General features: G+C 33.6%; 1 protein-coding gene across 14 annotated transcripts in view; it reads right to left on the reverse strand.

Annotated features, from left to right (window-relative positions):
• Positions 1 to 15,220, reverse strand: part of DENND1B (DENN domain containing 1B) — a 277,403-nt gene that overhangs the window by 34,253 nt on the left and 227,930 nt on the right. For 11 of the 14 annotated variants that reach the window (XM_011509248.3, XM_047447711.1, XM_005244931.3 and 8 more), the window contains 5 exons: positions 14,022 to 14,112; positions 7,733 to 7,773; positions 6,922 to 6,990; positions 1,959 to 2,015; positions 964 to 1,071 (listed from right to left, as the gene is read on the reverse strand). In XM_011509248.3, coding sequence (XP_011507550.1) covers positions 964 to 1,071; positions 1,959 to 2,015; positions 6,922 to 6,990; positions 7,733 to 7,773; positions 14,022 to 14,112 — 366 coding nt within the window. Of the gene's footprint in view, positions 1 to 963; positions 1,072 to 1,958; positions 2,016 to 6,921; positions 6,991 to 7,732; positions 7,774 to 13,259; positions 14,113 to 15,220 lie in introns of those variants that run through there. The other 3 variants (NM_144977.5, NM_001300858.2, NR_125340.2) reach the window with 2 other exon arrangements.

Here is a 15,220-nt window from a genome sequence, read left to right on the forward strand (position 1 = left end):
TGTGAGAAATAAACTTCTGTTCTTTACAAATTACCCAGCCTCAGGTATTCTGGTACAGCAGCACAAAATGGGCTCAAAGACAAAGACCCTGGAAGCACCTTATGGCCATGTATACTTCTGTGGTGCCTGGCTATCCAGGAAAGCTAACTGAGCATCAGAGATGGCTTTTCGCCTCCTTCTGCCACTGATCAGTTATGAGACTTATGGCAAGTGTTGTGACCATTCTAGCTATCAACTTTCTCATCTGCAAACCTTGGCAACTGTTATAAATGAAGCTTTGCAGCCACTTCCAGTTCTGTAATTTTGTAGCTACAGTCCACTCAAGAATTCTTTTTTGAAGCTAGTTTTCTAAGGCCACTTAAGATACAATTTTGTATATACCAATTTTGTTTAGTTAGAGCCTTCATAAATGTACTTATGAAAAAAAAACCAGGAACACTTATAGCTATGATTCTGAACACTCAGTCACTTGAAACAATATTTTAAGTAGCATCAGCATATAAAAAGAAGCTTTAACTATTTATAGCAAATAAAATAATCTAACTTTAGAATAGGATAGACTTATAGTAGTTCAGATTTTAATTTCTATAGACTATTTTAATGGCCAAATACCCATGTATAAGATTGATTTTATTTTTGTAGTAAAGGAATCCTATGATTTCCAGTTTATCATCAAGCTATTCACACTCTATAAGAATCACACATTCAATTGTCTTTTCCTTCACTGGACTATGAGATCTATGAGGGCATGGGCTAACAAAGCATGTAGAGACCGATATCTGAAACATTTGACTCTCAATCCCCTTGTAGCCTTCCCAGGTTCCACTAACTCCTCCCCTTGACCAATACTGCAGGTTTTCATATAAGATAAAAAATTAGTGGATCCAAATTGTTCCTAAATAATTTACTGGAATTATATAATTTGAGAATGTGGGGGAATGAAGGGTAAATAACCTTACTTACCTGAGCAAGCTTACGCTTTTCTGAGTTTCCTCCCTTTTCATTGTGTAATTTGTAAACTGGTGTATATTGTACAGAACTAGAACAGGTCCCATAATCTTCTTCATTTTCCTACACATGAAAAAATATACAGGCAATAATTGTAAAGTACTCCTTTTATTACTAACGTATTAGATTAATAAACAAAGTATCTGATATACATACAAGTAGCAAAATAACACTTCAGCTTTAAGTGTAAAGAATCTATTTAAGAAGAAAATGCATTTTTCTATAATCAAAATTAATAAATTTAATTAAATAAGGTTAATGATCTTAATTATTTATACTGATAAATTTAATTTAATAAAAATAATTAAAAATCTTTGATTACTTTGAATAATCTGAATAAAATTTATATAAAGATAATTTGCTATCACTACACTGGAAGATTTAAGTAGTATGTTTTCTCCAAAGGTAAAAATTCAAAACATAACTGATAATAAAATCTGTGAAGATACAAATTAAAATCAACACACATATACACATATTTACATATCTGCAATATTCATAACTTAAATACATACATAATATTTTGTAAATTAAGAACATTCTTCATTTTAAAGTAACTACTATTGGAATGAGACTATCAAAACAAATGCTGGCATTCCTGGGTTACTTCTACACAAAAGATATCTTTTAAAAATATTCTTAGCATAAAGCAAGAACTTCAATTGTGATATCAAGGCAATTAACTTTATGAAAACATACATCCTGTTAAAACATCTTTGAAGATTTCCATAGTTCTGTGATAAAATATTCAAACAGTAAAGAGATTATTCAGTGAATGCATACAGAAGAGCAGATAGTTGCCAGAGGGCTTGTTATAAAAAATACATTCTTGAACAAAGGGCTAAGCATATTTCAAATGTCATTAAAAACACAAATTTCTAATTTGGAAGTATAAACTTCAAACTAATACAAGAATCAAGGTAAAATGGAAAAAAATGAATATGACATACCTTGTGTTTTAGTTTACTCTTCACTTCCTTTAGTCCCAGCTTTGCATGATTTTTTGCCTAGAAAATGATAATGAATGTGCCTGGCTCAGGATGGTTCCATTACCATTTAAAGAATAAGTATACAAGATCAAATTTAATGACAATTACTAAATATTCATATGATTTAGAAAAAGAACAGATTATAATCTAACATTCTATTTTCAGGGATACGCATATCACTTACTATTTTATTACACCTAAATCAGTTGGTAAAACCATTAGTCTCTTCTTTGTATACAAGTATCATACAAAGGCTAACATTTAGACTATTTTGTTTCCTAAACTATAAAGAACACAAAAGGAATAAACCAGATTACAATGTTAAAACTGTAACAAACTGGAGGAACAGAGAAAGTACATCCCCGCAGCAAATTATTTGGGTAGATGCTTGAACTTGAAAAAACTTTGGCAATTTTACAAAGCTTTATTAAGAGCTTTTACAGGCAGACACAGAATTTTATTAGCAGAGCCATCTTAATGGAATGGTATTTCATATATAGTTTTTCTGGTAAAACTTAAAAGTCATTTAACAATTTAAAGCTATCCTCATGTTTCACAGGGAACCTGGCCCCAGCATTTGAGTTTCTCACATCCTGCTGTGATTCCTGTGGGGTATAACTTAACTAAAGACAACTGGGGGCTTTCACAAAAGCCTTAGCCTTTGTTCCACTAGAAATTCCTACTCACAGTGGCAAAGGTGAAAAAGAGGAGAAAAGGAATTCATATTTATTTTGTTTCCTAAATATATGACTGTGTGCTGGGTGCTTAGCATGCATTATCTTAGGTAGTTATCACAACAATTCTGTAAGATTAGTACTACTATGATCACATTTTAAAATAAGGAAAGTGACTCAGGGAGACTGTAATCTAGCTAACTATCCTCGAATCCACTTGATCACACTAATCTTTTCAGATGCTCTTTAGTATACAGAGTTGAAGCTACTAGTGTCAGTCTCTTCCATGGTTCTATAATTCCATAGTGCACTGATTCATTAAAATAATTGTTGTCCCATGTCCTCCTCTGACTTCCTTCAGATAACCTGGAAGGCCGGATATAGGTTCTCTCTATCCTTTTCAACTTACCAATTTGAAGCTTAACACAATGCAAGTATTCTCCAGAGAAATGCTCCAAGCAAATGGCTTTGGTAATAATTTAAAATGGAGACCTAACAAGAAAGATGACTCTGAAAACCGTTTAGCCAAATAAAATATGAATTCCACTTTGCTGTTATTCTTAAATTTATACAAGTGTGTATGATAACTCTAGTTTTCTTTATGGCCCCTATCAGCATAGAAAAACATATGCATGAAAAGCATAGGAAAAAAAATTTTAACTATAAAAATAAGTATAAAAATGTTATAAGAACAGGATGGAATCATTATTTGCTTTGACAAACACATATTCAGTATTTCTGTAGTATGTTCAAAGTGCAGAGCAAAGTGATAGGAAAACAAATATAAAAGTAGGGACAGTATCTCTTACTGTACCTTCATGTTCTGCTATAACTCCAATGATGAGTATAAGGCCTAGTTCACGATAGGCACTCAAATAATTTATTGAATAAATGAGATAGAGGTAAAAACATGATTCCTACTTTTGAAAAATTTACTATCTATAGAAAACCAAGGTAAGTAAATTCTGTTATACCACACAACAGAAATTAGGAGTTTTATTCATAGCAATTTGTGGTCAAAGAAGGAATTTCAGAGTACACATTTCAGAAAATGAGCAGTCTGGAAAGATCAGTTTTAGAAACAATTACAAAGATCACAGAATGACTGACTTACCTGCCCCAAACCTCCTGATTCAGGGATGATATGATCACAAGATAAATGATAAAAAAGTGATTAGGTATATTCTAAAGATCTTAATTCACCTGAAATTAATTTAGGGAACAATCCTCCAGAGTAGAAACCTTTTTTATTTATTTATTTATTTATTTATTTTTTTCCCTGAGACAAAGTCTCACTTTGTGGCCCAGGCTGGAGTGCAGTGGCACAATCTTGGCTCACTGCAACCTCCACCTCCCAGGCTCCAGCAATTCTCCTGCCTCAGCCTCCCAAGTAGCTGGGACCATAGGAGCACGACACCACACCTGGATAATTTTTGTATTTTCAATAGAGATGGGGTTTCACCATGTTGGCCAGGCTGGTCTCAAACTCCTGACCTCAAGCGATCCACCTGCCTTGGCTTCCCAGGTGCTGGGATTACAGGTGTGAGCCACAGCACCCGGCCCAAAGAATAGAATTTTTAATTTGAAAAGATTTTACTTCCTTGCAGAGAAGAGTTCAAAATAAAATACTCCACTGATTAGAATGATAAATTTTAAAATAATGAATAGGGTTTTGAACATGTTTGCTTCATTGCTGCGCTTTTGTGAAAAATATGAGTGAAATTAAGGCAAGACACATATTTGGCAAAACAATACAACTTCTCTAAGCCTAAAAAAAACCCTCAACTGCCTGCTCCAGAAGAAAATGAAGGGCTATTGACTGTGAAACCATTTTTAGAATCTTAAATGAATGTGAGAAACAAGGATCAACATTACTTTGCTTTTTCACATGGTAGTTGTGTACTATTTCATTGTAAAAAAAAATCTCTTCAAAAACTGCACTTAAACCACCAGAGAGGTTTCCTAGGAAAGCCATAGAACAACCAAAAAAAACGCAGAGGCTGAGGTTTCTAAGGGAAAATGATAACCTTGTCTTATTTTGGCCTTATGGTTAGGGATCAAATAATTCTAATTTTGGGACTGTATTTTTTAATCAACTCTATAGATTAGCTTCCCTACTATAAAATTTAATATTTGAATGGAATTTTTAAACAGAAAGGGTGGCCACATTCATATCACAATTTTAACTCAAGGAATAACAGAAGTTCTAAACTTTTATTAAAATATACTATTTTATTATTAATTCAATCACATCAACTCACTTACCGAGAAAAGCTTTTGAAGACAAATTCTTACAAAATCAAAACCCTTGCCTTAAATATTTTTAGAAATATAAAATATCCGACCTATTGAATTTTAAAAAATTTATTGAACACAACACACTAGCTTCTCTCCTGGGAAGTTACTAGACTAGTATTGAGAGAGAAATGTACACAGACAAAACAAGTGTTGAAACAGAAGGTCCTACAGATACAAAAATACGTATATAAACATTTTTGTGTAGGGTTGAGAAGACAAAAATATGTATAAAAGCTTTTTTTGTGTACGGTTCAGAAAAATTTTTTCAGGGGAAATAATGTCTGAACTAAGTCCTGTAAAATGAACTGGTGTTGACTAGGTGGATAAAGGCCAAGAAACTGACATTCCAATTAATAGGAATGGCTTGAGCAAGAATCAAAGGGCAGAGGAGAATATCTCACATTCATGAAATGAGGAGTAGCTAAGTGTCTTCAGAGATATGGAACGTTCTGAGGAGTAGGGGGAAAAGGAACTAGACATGAAGGGTTGGGTTTTGAAGGGTCTTAATTGTCATATTAAAGAGTTTTTTTACTTTATCATTTATTATTTACTTTATTATTCTTACTATTATTCCCATTATTTTTTTTCTGCAAGTCTTACAGCAGCGGTGTCCAACCTTTTGGCTTCCTTGGGCCACATTAGAGAAAGAAGAATTGTCTTGGGCCACACATAAAATACACTAACATTAACACAAGCTGATAAGCTAAAAAAGAAAAGGAAAGAAGAAGATGAAGATGAAGAGGAAGAGGAAGAAGAGGAAGAGGAGGAGGAAGAGGAGGAGAAAGAAGAAGAGGAAGAGGACGAGGAGGAGGAAGAAGAAGAAGAGGAGGAAGAAGAAGAAGAGGAAGAGGAGGAAGAAGAGGAAGAGGAGGAAGAAGAGGAAGAAGAGGAAGGAGGAGAAGGAGATGAAGAGGAAGAGGAAGAAGAAGAAGAAAGAAGAAGAAAAGAAGAAGAAAAGAGAAGAAGAAGAAGGGAGAAGAGAGAAGGGAGAAGGAGAAGGAGGAAGGAGGAAGGGGAAGAAGGAAGAAGGAAGACGACGACGACGACGACGAAAGAAGGAGGAGAAGGAGAAGGAGAAGGAGAAGAAGAAGAAGAAGAAGAATTCCAAGAAAAATCTTGGAATGTTTTAAGAAAGTTTAAGAATTTCTGTTGGGGCTGGGCGCAGTGGCTCACACCTATAATCCCAGCACTTTGAGAGGCCAAGGCGGGCAGATCACTTGAGGTCAGGGGTTTGAGACCAGCCTGGCCAACATGATGAAACCCCGTTTCTACTAAGAATACAAAAATTAGCCAGGCATGGTGGTGGGTGCCTGTAATCCCAGCTACTTGGGAGGCTGAGGCAGGAGAATTGCTTGAACCTGGAAGGCGGAGGTTACAGTGAGCCGAGATCGTGCCACTGCACTCCAGCCTGGGTGACAGAGCGAGACTTCGTCTCAAAAAAAAAAAAGAATTTGTGTTGGGCCACATTCAAAGCTATCCTAGGTCACATGCAGCCCACAGGCCATGGGTTGGACAAACTTGCCTTGGAGACTCACTGAAGAATGTTAATAAACAGTCAATGCATCTTTGAGGGAAAAGACCTCGCTATATTTTTCTTTTTTTTTTTCTACTTGAGCCGCAAGTACACAGCAAGAATGTAAAATGTTGTTAAATGAAATAATGACATTTTACAAAATGGTACCCCATCAATAACTGTTTCAATTTGCTGCACAACTTTGCCGATAGCTTTGGAATAAAATGAGAACCATTTTTAGATTATATAAAAGAAACTACCCTCTGCATGCAATGTTATAATTTTAACAATTGAATTTGCTTTGGTCAATATTAATCCTAATTTTTTTTTAGGTTTATTTAAAAGAAAAATAGAAAATATTCAGAATTTATATGTCTATCACCTAGGAAAATGTTTTATAATTTCATAAATAGGATTGTTAAATATCAAAAAAACTTACAAATTTATATGCTGTCCGTACAGCAGGGGTTGCTTTGGTCATTGCTGTGTTGAACAGTGCACCTCCTTTCTGCAAAAGAAAAACAGAAACATATTTCCAAAAACTTTTAGCTAAAATATCCTGAAAACAAAGTATTACAGTAAGTTGCATATTTAAAAAAAGGGCTTTACTCACAACTTAAAGACCTATACAAATTATTTCATGTTCAGTGTTCAGTGTTTTCAAGTTTCTATGTACTTTAATAATTTCAAACAAAATGTACACTTTCCACCTTGTTCTTTAGTTGATATAATACATCACTTAAAAATCATTTCTTCCTTGAAGCTTAGGTAGACTTGAGCAATATGACTAGTAATTTGAATATATTTAAAGCTTAATAAGAAAGAAATACAAGTTTATCAGCTGTTTTAATATCGGGCAAATAAAGTCTCAGTCTGGGGGAGAAAGTTTCATATTTAAAAATCATATTAACAAAACTATATTACCACAAATTATAAAATTGCCATCAAATCCTTCTACCCCACCTAATTTCTTCTTCTGGAAAATAATATAAGAAAAACAACATTTGGCAGTAAAATCTTGCTTTTCAAAATGAGCCATTTATCTTTGGACCAAAACTTTCCATTTAAAAATTATCTTAATGAGTATCAACAAACTATAAACGTAAAATAAGAATATTTAAAATGTGACAAAATATACAAACATTTCAAATATTTCAAATAAACAGCATAAGTATAAACAGCATACTTTTGCTGAACATTTCTCCATTTATATTAGAGTGAAAGAATAACATTTGAAAGCTTATGATTACCTTGACTGTATGCACCCATTGTTGATATGACCTCGGGTTCCCTGGAATATATAAAAATGAGATGCCAGGAATGGTTGATCAAAAATAAATCTGTAAACCAAAATTTATCAAGAACTAGTATTTGCACAATTTTTAGTAGGCAAATTTTATATGCAATGTTGAAAAGTAGTTCTAATAAAATCCAGCGATCAACATATCTGGTTCCAAATTCATAAATAATTTAGTCAATAAGATGATATCAGAAGGTAAAAAAAGAAATACATATACAACTTACCTAATCTTTCCCATCAACTGATCTCAGTTAGATTTCAGCTACCTTCTTGTTTAAAAGCTTAAATACTCCCTAAGTCGCAGGGGTAAAAAGTCACAATAAAAAAACAAAATCCCAGGCCTGGTGTGGTGGCTCCCACCTATAGTGCCAGCTACTTGAAAGGCTGTGGCCAGGGCACTGTTTGAGCCCAGGAGTTCAAGGTTGCAGTGTGCTAAGATTATGCCACTGCACTCCAGCCTGGGAGACAGGGCAAGACCCCATCTCTTTTTTTTTTTTTTAAAGTCCCAGTGGCTACTCAGACACTATCCAATACAAAGAACCCCTAAAACATACTGTTCTCCTCTACTCTGTGGCTGTGGATTTTAAAAGATGTATCACCTTGCTCTTACAAAATAGAGACAAAATGATCTCAGCCCCAAAATTTCTTTCTAGCTGTTATCTTTGCATCCCTAATCAACATCAGGCAAGAAGTGTCCAGCTCTGGATTCACTTCTGTATTTAAAATCTTACTCTAATTTAAAAGAAATATCAAAAAACAATTTTTATTCTGAAAAACATCTCTGACTACTCAGAACACAGCATTGCACCTTTTCTGGAGGATGAAACATGAAGACAAATTTTTTTTCTTAACTTGTGAAATAACTACAGCAAAATGTAACTACCTAAAATAACCTTTGTAAAAATAAGTTGCCCTGTTTAAAAGGTGTGAGTTTCAGGTGGTATTTGGCTTGACCAAACTTTTAAAAGTATATTTCCCTTGTAAAATAATAAAACATTCCAAGTTATTCTACCAATTTATTTCTCAAGGAGATTTTTTAAACAACAACAAAAAAAACCCTGCAGATCTTTATTCATCCAGATTATTCATATATGTTTCTGTATTAAAAAGCTCTCATCAGTTCATATACTTTTTACTTCTCTACTAAAAATGGCTGAGTGGAAATCACATATTTAAGACTTTGTTATTATTCACAGTATTCTGGAAAGTGTTTTAATTATTTTCCCAAAATGAATGTAAGAAAGTGGAAGAAGAAACAAACACCAGTTTAGCATTCTGTAACCTTTGTCAATCCAGAAAACAATTCTTTTAAACCTCTGAACCACAAAGAAACTAGCTATGATAAAAGTTTCAAACTATCGTAGAAAGGTTAGGGTCTTATTTAGAACTATGAGGAATTTAAAAAAGCTAATTTTCAGCTCTGTACAAGTCATCGCATGTTTTTATCTACATTATTTGAACTGTACTTTTCTACTGTAAAATAGGCAAACAGTGCCATAAGCAGTCAGTTCAATGAGAAGGAAGTGGGCTTTGGAGTCCAATGGACCTTTAGAGCTCAGGCCTACTCTATCTTTGTGAAGGATGTGATTTGGGATGAGGTCCTTAACTTGGCTGAGCATCAGCTTCTTCATTCATCAAATAAGCATAATAGTCATTGTCCTTCAGGATTATTGTGAGGATGAAAGATAACGATTAAACAATGTTTAGTATGGTACATAGTATATTGAAGAAATATCATAAATGATCGTTATTACTATAAATAATTTGCCAAAATAGAAAACTGAGGTTCTATGATGATGTATTATTCAGCCATGTTCTCAAGGCTAGCAACTGAAACAGAATAAGAATCTAGGAATTTAATCCCCGGTTCATTATTCCTTCAACTCTGAAAAACTCCCTCTAAGACTGCTAAATAAAATATGATTAAAACTTAAGTTATACAGAGTTTCCTCTGTATCACACCCAAAGCAATTATATTTGAAAGGGAAAGGGGCTGCTCAAGGCTAATACCCTGAAAAAGAAGGTTAATAGAGAGAATTACCGGTAATAATCTAAAATTTCATAGTATAGGGGCAAAGAAGAAGTCCCTTGCTTCGATGTTATGAAAACATGGTACAATTTAGGTAGATTCCTATTTTAAAAGTTTTAAGGGCTAATTGTGCCTTTAAATTTTACTGCTTTTATGATTTAAGGTTCCTATTTCCACAATATTTATGAGAAAAGTACATTATTCTTTAGCAGTGTTAGAAAAAGGCTGTTATTCTAAAAATTAATTTGAATGCTAAAGAAATCCCTCAGAATCCTTCTTTTAAAATAACTGGATTATGGCAATAATAGGCATTACTGAGGAAATTCTTAACATTATTTTTGTTAATAAAACTAGTGATTTTCTCACACTTAAGGACAAAATATCTATTTCTCATTTATGCCAAGACTTTCTCCTCAAATGTACTTGCTTAAATTCCAGTAATTTGTACTCATTTATCTCAAAATGTAAATTGGTCTAAATTGTTCAACAAGGCCAGAAAAATGCCACTAAACTGATATTACCTACCACGTCTTCAAATTCCTTTGATACCTTAGTCAGTAAAACTAAATAAGAATGGAAAAATAAATAAATGAACAAATAAAAGACTCATCAGATTATATGTGTAAACTAAGGAAGAAACACATGCTAGTGATAGAGAGTAACCACATACTCCTCATAAAATGAATCTGAAAATATTTCTCCTGTTTAAAGTTGATGTAAATGTAAAAACTAGTTTTATTTTAAATGAAAAAAAAGTATTTAAAGAAAGAATATGTTCTTAACTACTCAATATTTCTTACCTGCTTTTTCACAGACCAACACTGTGTTTACTTAAATGCATCCTTTGTTCTACTCCTGTCCTGTTTTATTATCTTTTAAACTCCATGGTTACTCTTCCCTTCACACATTCCTTTTAAGTTAAGTTAAAATTTTCCTTTTAAGTTAAGGTGGAAGATTTTGCAAGGGTCTCATGAAGGAATAAGGTATGACGTGGATTTCCTTAATAGTCCTGATGAGGGCTCACAGGGCAGAGGCAGTTTTTGAAAAAATGCATGTATTCACAGATTCTTTAACCATACAGTTCCAGATTCAAATGTGAATCTAGATGTTCCTTATCTGATTGTCCTGCACTGTATATTTTTAATCAGAGCCACAATAATGATAAACCTCCATCATATTCATATTCATTTTATCATAACCATCGGCATTAACAAAAATAGTGTATAAACTACTACTGCAATGATAAAGAGGAGAAAATAGATGTTTCTCTCAAATTTCCTAATTATTGTTGCTTAAAGGAACACAATTTTTTCTTAGCTTTAGTTAATGTTAATTTCTGCCACAGTGGTCTTTCTAGGACTTCATGTGTAAAAAATCTACAAGAAATTCAAAAGAGATGAGAATTTTGCTTTGATTCAATCAGAGTAGGAAAGGGTTAAGTATTACTCTTGTTTACTGAATGTTTTTGCATTAAGAAAATCTACTATAAAAAACAGTATATCTTTGAAGCCACATAGACACATGTGGAATTGAGACTCTGGCCACTACTGGCTGTGTGACCTTGAGTAAATTATTGAGCTGAATACTCAATAAAAATGAGGTAATGAAAGTACCTCCTTTGCTGGATTAAGAAAATGTGGCACATATACACCATGGAATACTATGCAGCCATAAAAAATGATGAGTTCATGTCCTTTGTAGGGACATGGATGAAGCTGGAAACCATCGTTCTCAGCAAACTATCACAAGGACAAAAAACCAAACACCACATGTTCTCACTCATAGGTGGGAATTGAACAATGAGAACACATGGACACAGGAAGGGGAACATCACACACCAGGGCCTGTTGTGGGGTGAGGGGGGGGGGGAGGGATAGCATTTGGAGATATACCTAATGTTAAGTGACGAGTTACTGGGTGCAGCACACCAACATGGCACATGTATACATATGTAACTAACCTGCATGTTGTGCACGTGTACCCTAAAACTTTAATTAAAAAAAAAAAAGGAAGTACCTCCTTGGGTGTTGTGAGGGTTAAATGAGATAATATTTGTAGAGCTCCTGGGAAAGTTTCTGCCACATATTAGTGCTCAATAAATATGAGCAATTATTATATTACTATTATTATGAGATAAACAACAAAGTTAGATCAGTTTACTTCTTTGAAGAACAGGTTAATTTCATGACATCGATATATTCTTCTTTCTCACAAGGGTAATGTGAATGACGTATGTTTGGAACTGACCTCTAGGAACCATTTTATAAACACACACACACACACACACACACACACACACACCCCCTAGATAGATGGATATCTTCTAATTAATAGTTAGAACACTGCTAATTTTTATTGTATAAGTCATCTTTTTATTTCAAATCCTAACACATTTTGCTTTATTTTCATCTACAAAAAAAGTCTATGTATAAAATAACATAACACAGAATAATTTAAAAATAATGCTTGACAGGCACAAATTTCTAACGGACTTTCTTGCTGTACTCACTGGAATTAATATTTGTCAAATTAGGCTTTCCTTTTAGATAAGTACTGGCTCTCTCAAATTAAAATAAGAGTTCAAAACCTTTTCATTTTAATAAAGAACAACAAAGTAGTGGGCATTAAGTTGTATTGAAAATGCAGCAGTTTCTAAGTCAGATACTTATCGGTAATCATATTCTCCTAATCTTTTTTAAACAATAAGGCTTTTCGTGAAAAATTTTAGTGGGCCCTCCCACCAGAAAAGCCACCTATCTCTACTCTATTCAGAGGTACCTGGACCAATGGTTAAGACTACAGAATTTAACTGTACAAAAGGATCATAGTTCTAGCCTCTTATTGTCACAAAATGTCATCTTCAATTCTATAAAAGCTACTAGCCCCACGGGTCATAAAGATAATGAGACAGCAGTTATGTAAATACCGAATAGATGCCTTAAGCAACTTGTCCATGGGCTGACAAAATTTTGCTTGTCTGAGTTGAGAAGTAAAAAAGTGTTATTTTAACACAAAAGTTCCATTGAAGCTAAATTTTTACCCATGAACTGAAGGAAGCAAGGAGCTGAATGATTCCACATTCAGCTTACTTTCTGAGTCAAGCAAACTAACTTTTCCCCAAGCTAAATGCTTTCAATGAAATGCTACACTTACATCAGATAAAGGTCCGCAACTACTGAGTTCATTTGTACCTCCTTTAATGAACCAATTATCTCAATGGTTTCTATATTTTCATGGTGGGAAAATGAATCTTAAAAATAACGTTAAATTTTGTGAAATGTGTAGATGAGTACTTATTACGTTTTGTCTTTTCATGTGTCATTTCTGAATTCCAGCATCTATTTATTTACATATAGACTGAAGTTTTTTTTCCTCAAAACAAACATACAAAGAAGTTTAAAAAATTGCTATTATACCAGGCCAAAAATTAACACACTAAGATACAGAATACAAGGATTTTTGTTTATTTAGTACACTTAATATTTAGAACAGTGCCTAATACATTGTAAGCACTCAGCAAATAATGAATGAACACGACATTTCAAGGACTCAAGCAAAATGCTCTGCAAGTCAAGACTATACACCACTACAATCGTGCAAAAATATCAGTTTGTAAATTATTAATTGCCTAGATAATTATAACAGTATTTGAACATTTACACTAGAAGGATTAATTGTACTTATGGAATGGTAAACTGGAAACTTTCTTAATGCTGCAGTGATCTATAAAGTCAAAAAGGTAAAGACATCTGTATAATAATAATACAGTTACTTAAATATGTATAAAGAATTTTGGTGTTCAGACCCTTCTTTTTGGATTGTATTACCAATCATAACCTCAGTTCTTAAATTCATACTCAGTAATAACCATCACTAGTAGTTTTCTAGCAGAGAATACTACTATTCAGAAGGAAAGACAGGAAGATATGAGTTGATTGGATTTCTGTATTACTAATTTCCAGCAATATTAAGAGATTATCGAGGCCAACAGCTGCCAATTCAGGAGGCCAACTTAATGCCTTGAGTAACAGGTATCAGGCAAAATAAGCTAATTCCATAGCTTTTATAAGATGAAAAATGTATTTAAGACATTACATATTTAGGAGGAAATCATTAGTTGTTTATGAAATAGGTTTTATCAGACACAAGTGCAAAGACCAAGAAAATTGTTATTGAGAAAATGGATAATCATATTGTAACTTGTCTTTACCTCCACAAAAGCCACCTGAAGTGATCTCTTCTTCAAATACATCAGAGAAACCCCTTCCTGCATTTAGTTTTGCCAGTCGACCATCGATAAACTAGAATTAAAAAGTGTCAAATAAAATGTATCAAATAAAATGTTATCCAATAAAATGTTAATTTTTCATTTTATAAGGTTAGATTTTTACTTACATCAAAAACATTAATAACAGACTCTTGTATAAATTACACATATATGGTGTATATATACACACACACAAGAAAATTCTCAAACAATGGAAAGAACAGGTGCTCAGTAGACAGCAGCTAATTAATTAAATTGCAAATGTACAGCAAAGAGTCTAACTCTAACTTATTAGCAAAAAATAGCAAAATGCAGTAGTAAAGATCATAGGCTCTGGATAGGTTGCTCAATGCACAATCTCTACAGAGGAGTTTGTACAAAGGTACTGTTGCCTTGCCAAGCCATTTACCCATGGGGCTCTGTCTTCCCCAGCCAGGCCTGTTTACCCAGTACCTGCCTCACGGTGTTGCTGCAAACAACAAATTAGATTAACCTAGGAAATGTGACACAGCAAGTATCTGTGAGATGTTAGACATTACCTGTTTTCAGCTTATTAACTTCATTCAGTAAAATAAAACACTACTTGTCTAACCTATTATATTCTAAAGCATAATAGAGCACCAAATAATTTTAACCATTTACAATAAAATCAATACAACTTTCATAGTTCCTGGCATACATTCTCACTGAATGACAGGAATTATGATTATTAAGTTAAATACAGTTGAGGTAAATGCATACTGACTTGATATGCATGAGGTTATTTTAGGCAATATTTTTCAGTGTTCTTAAAAAAGAGGTTGGAGGAGTGGGAAACTGAAACTATCAAAAGCACCCGAAGATCTTTTTCGAAGTGCAGAAATCCAGATACCCTGGAGACTATCTTCCATTGCCTGTTCTGCTCCAGTCCTCACCTGTTCCAACATACATAGCATACCAGAATCTCACAGTATTAATGCTGCATTTGAAAAGTATCCTGGGTATTTTTATATGACCAACCCAAGGTGAAAATCAATGATTATACACACACACACACACACACACACACACACACACACACACACACACACGTATTACTAGCAGCACTTGGTTACCTTTTATTTTGTTGATTTGTGGCACCTAGAATTTGATATGTTGTGGTT

Source organism: Homo sapiens, chromosome 1, assembly GCF_000001405.40.
Source record: "Homo sapiens chromosome 1, GRCh38.p14 Primary Assembly".
Classification (NCBI taxonomy): Eukaryota; Metazoa; Chordata; class Mammalia; order Primates; family Hominidae; genus Homo; species Homo sapiens.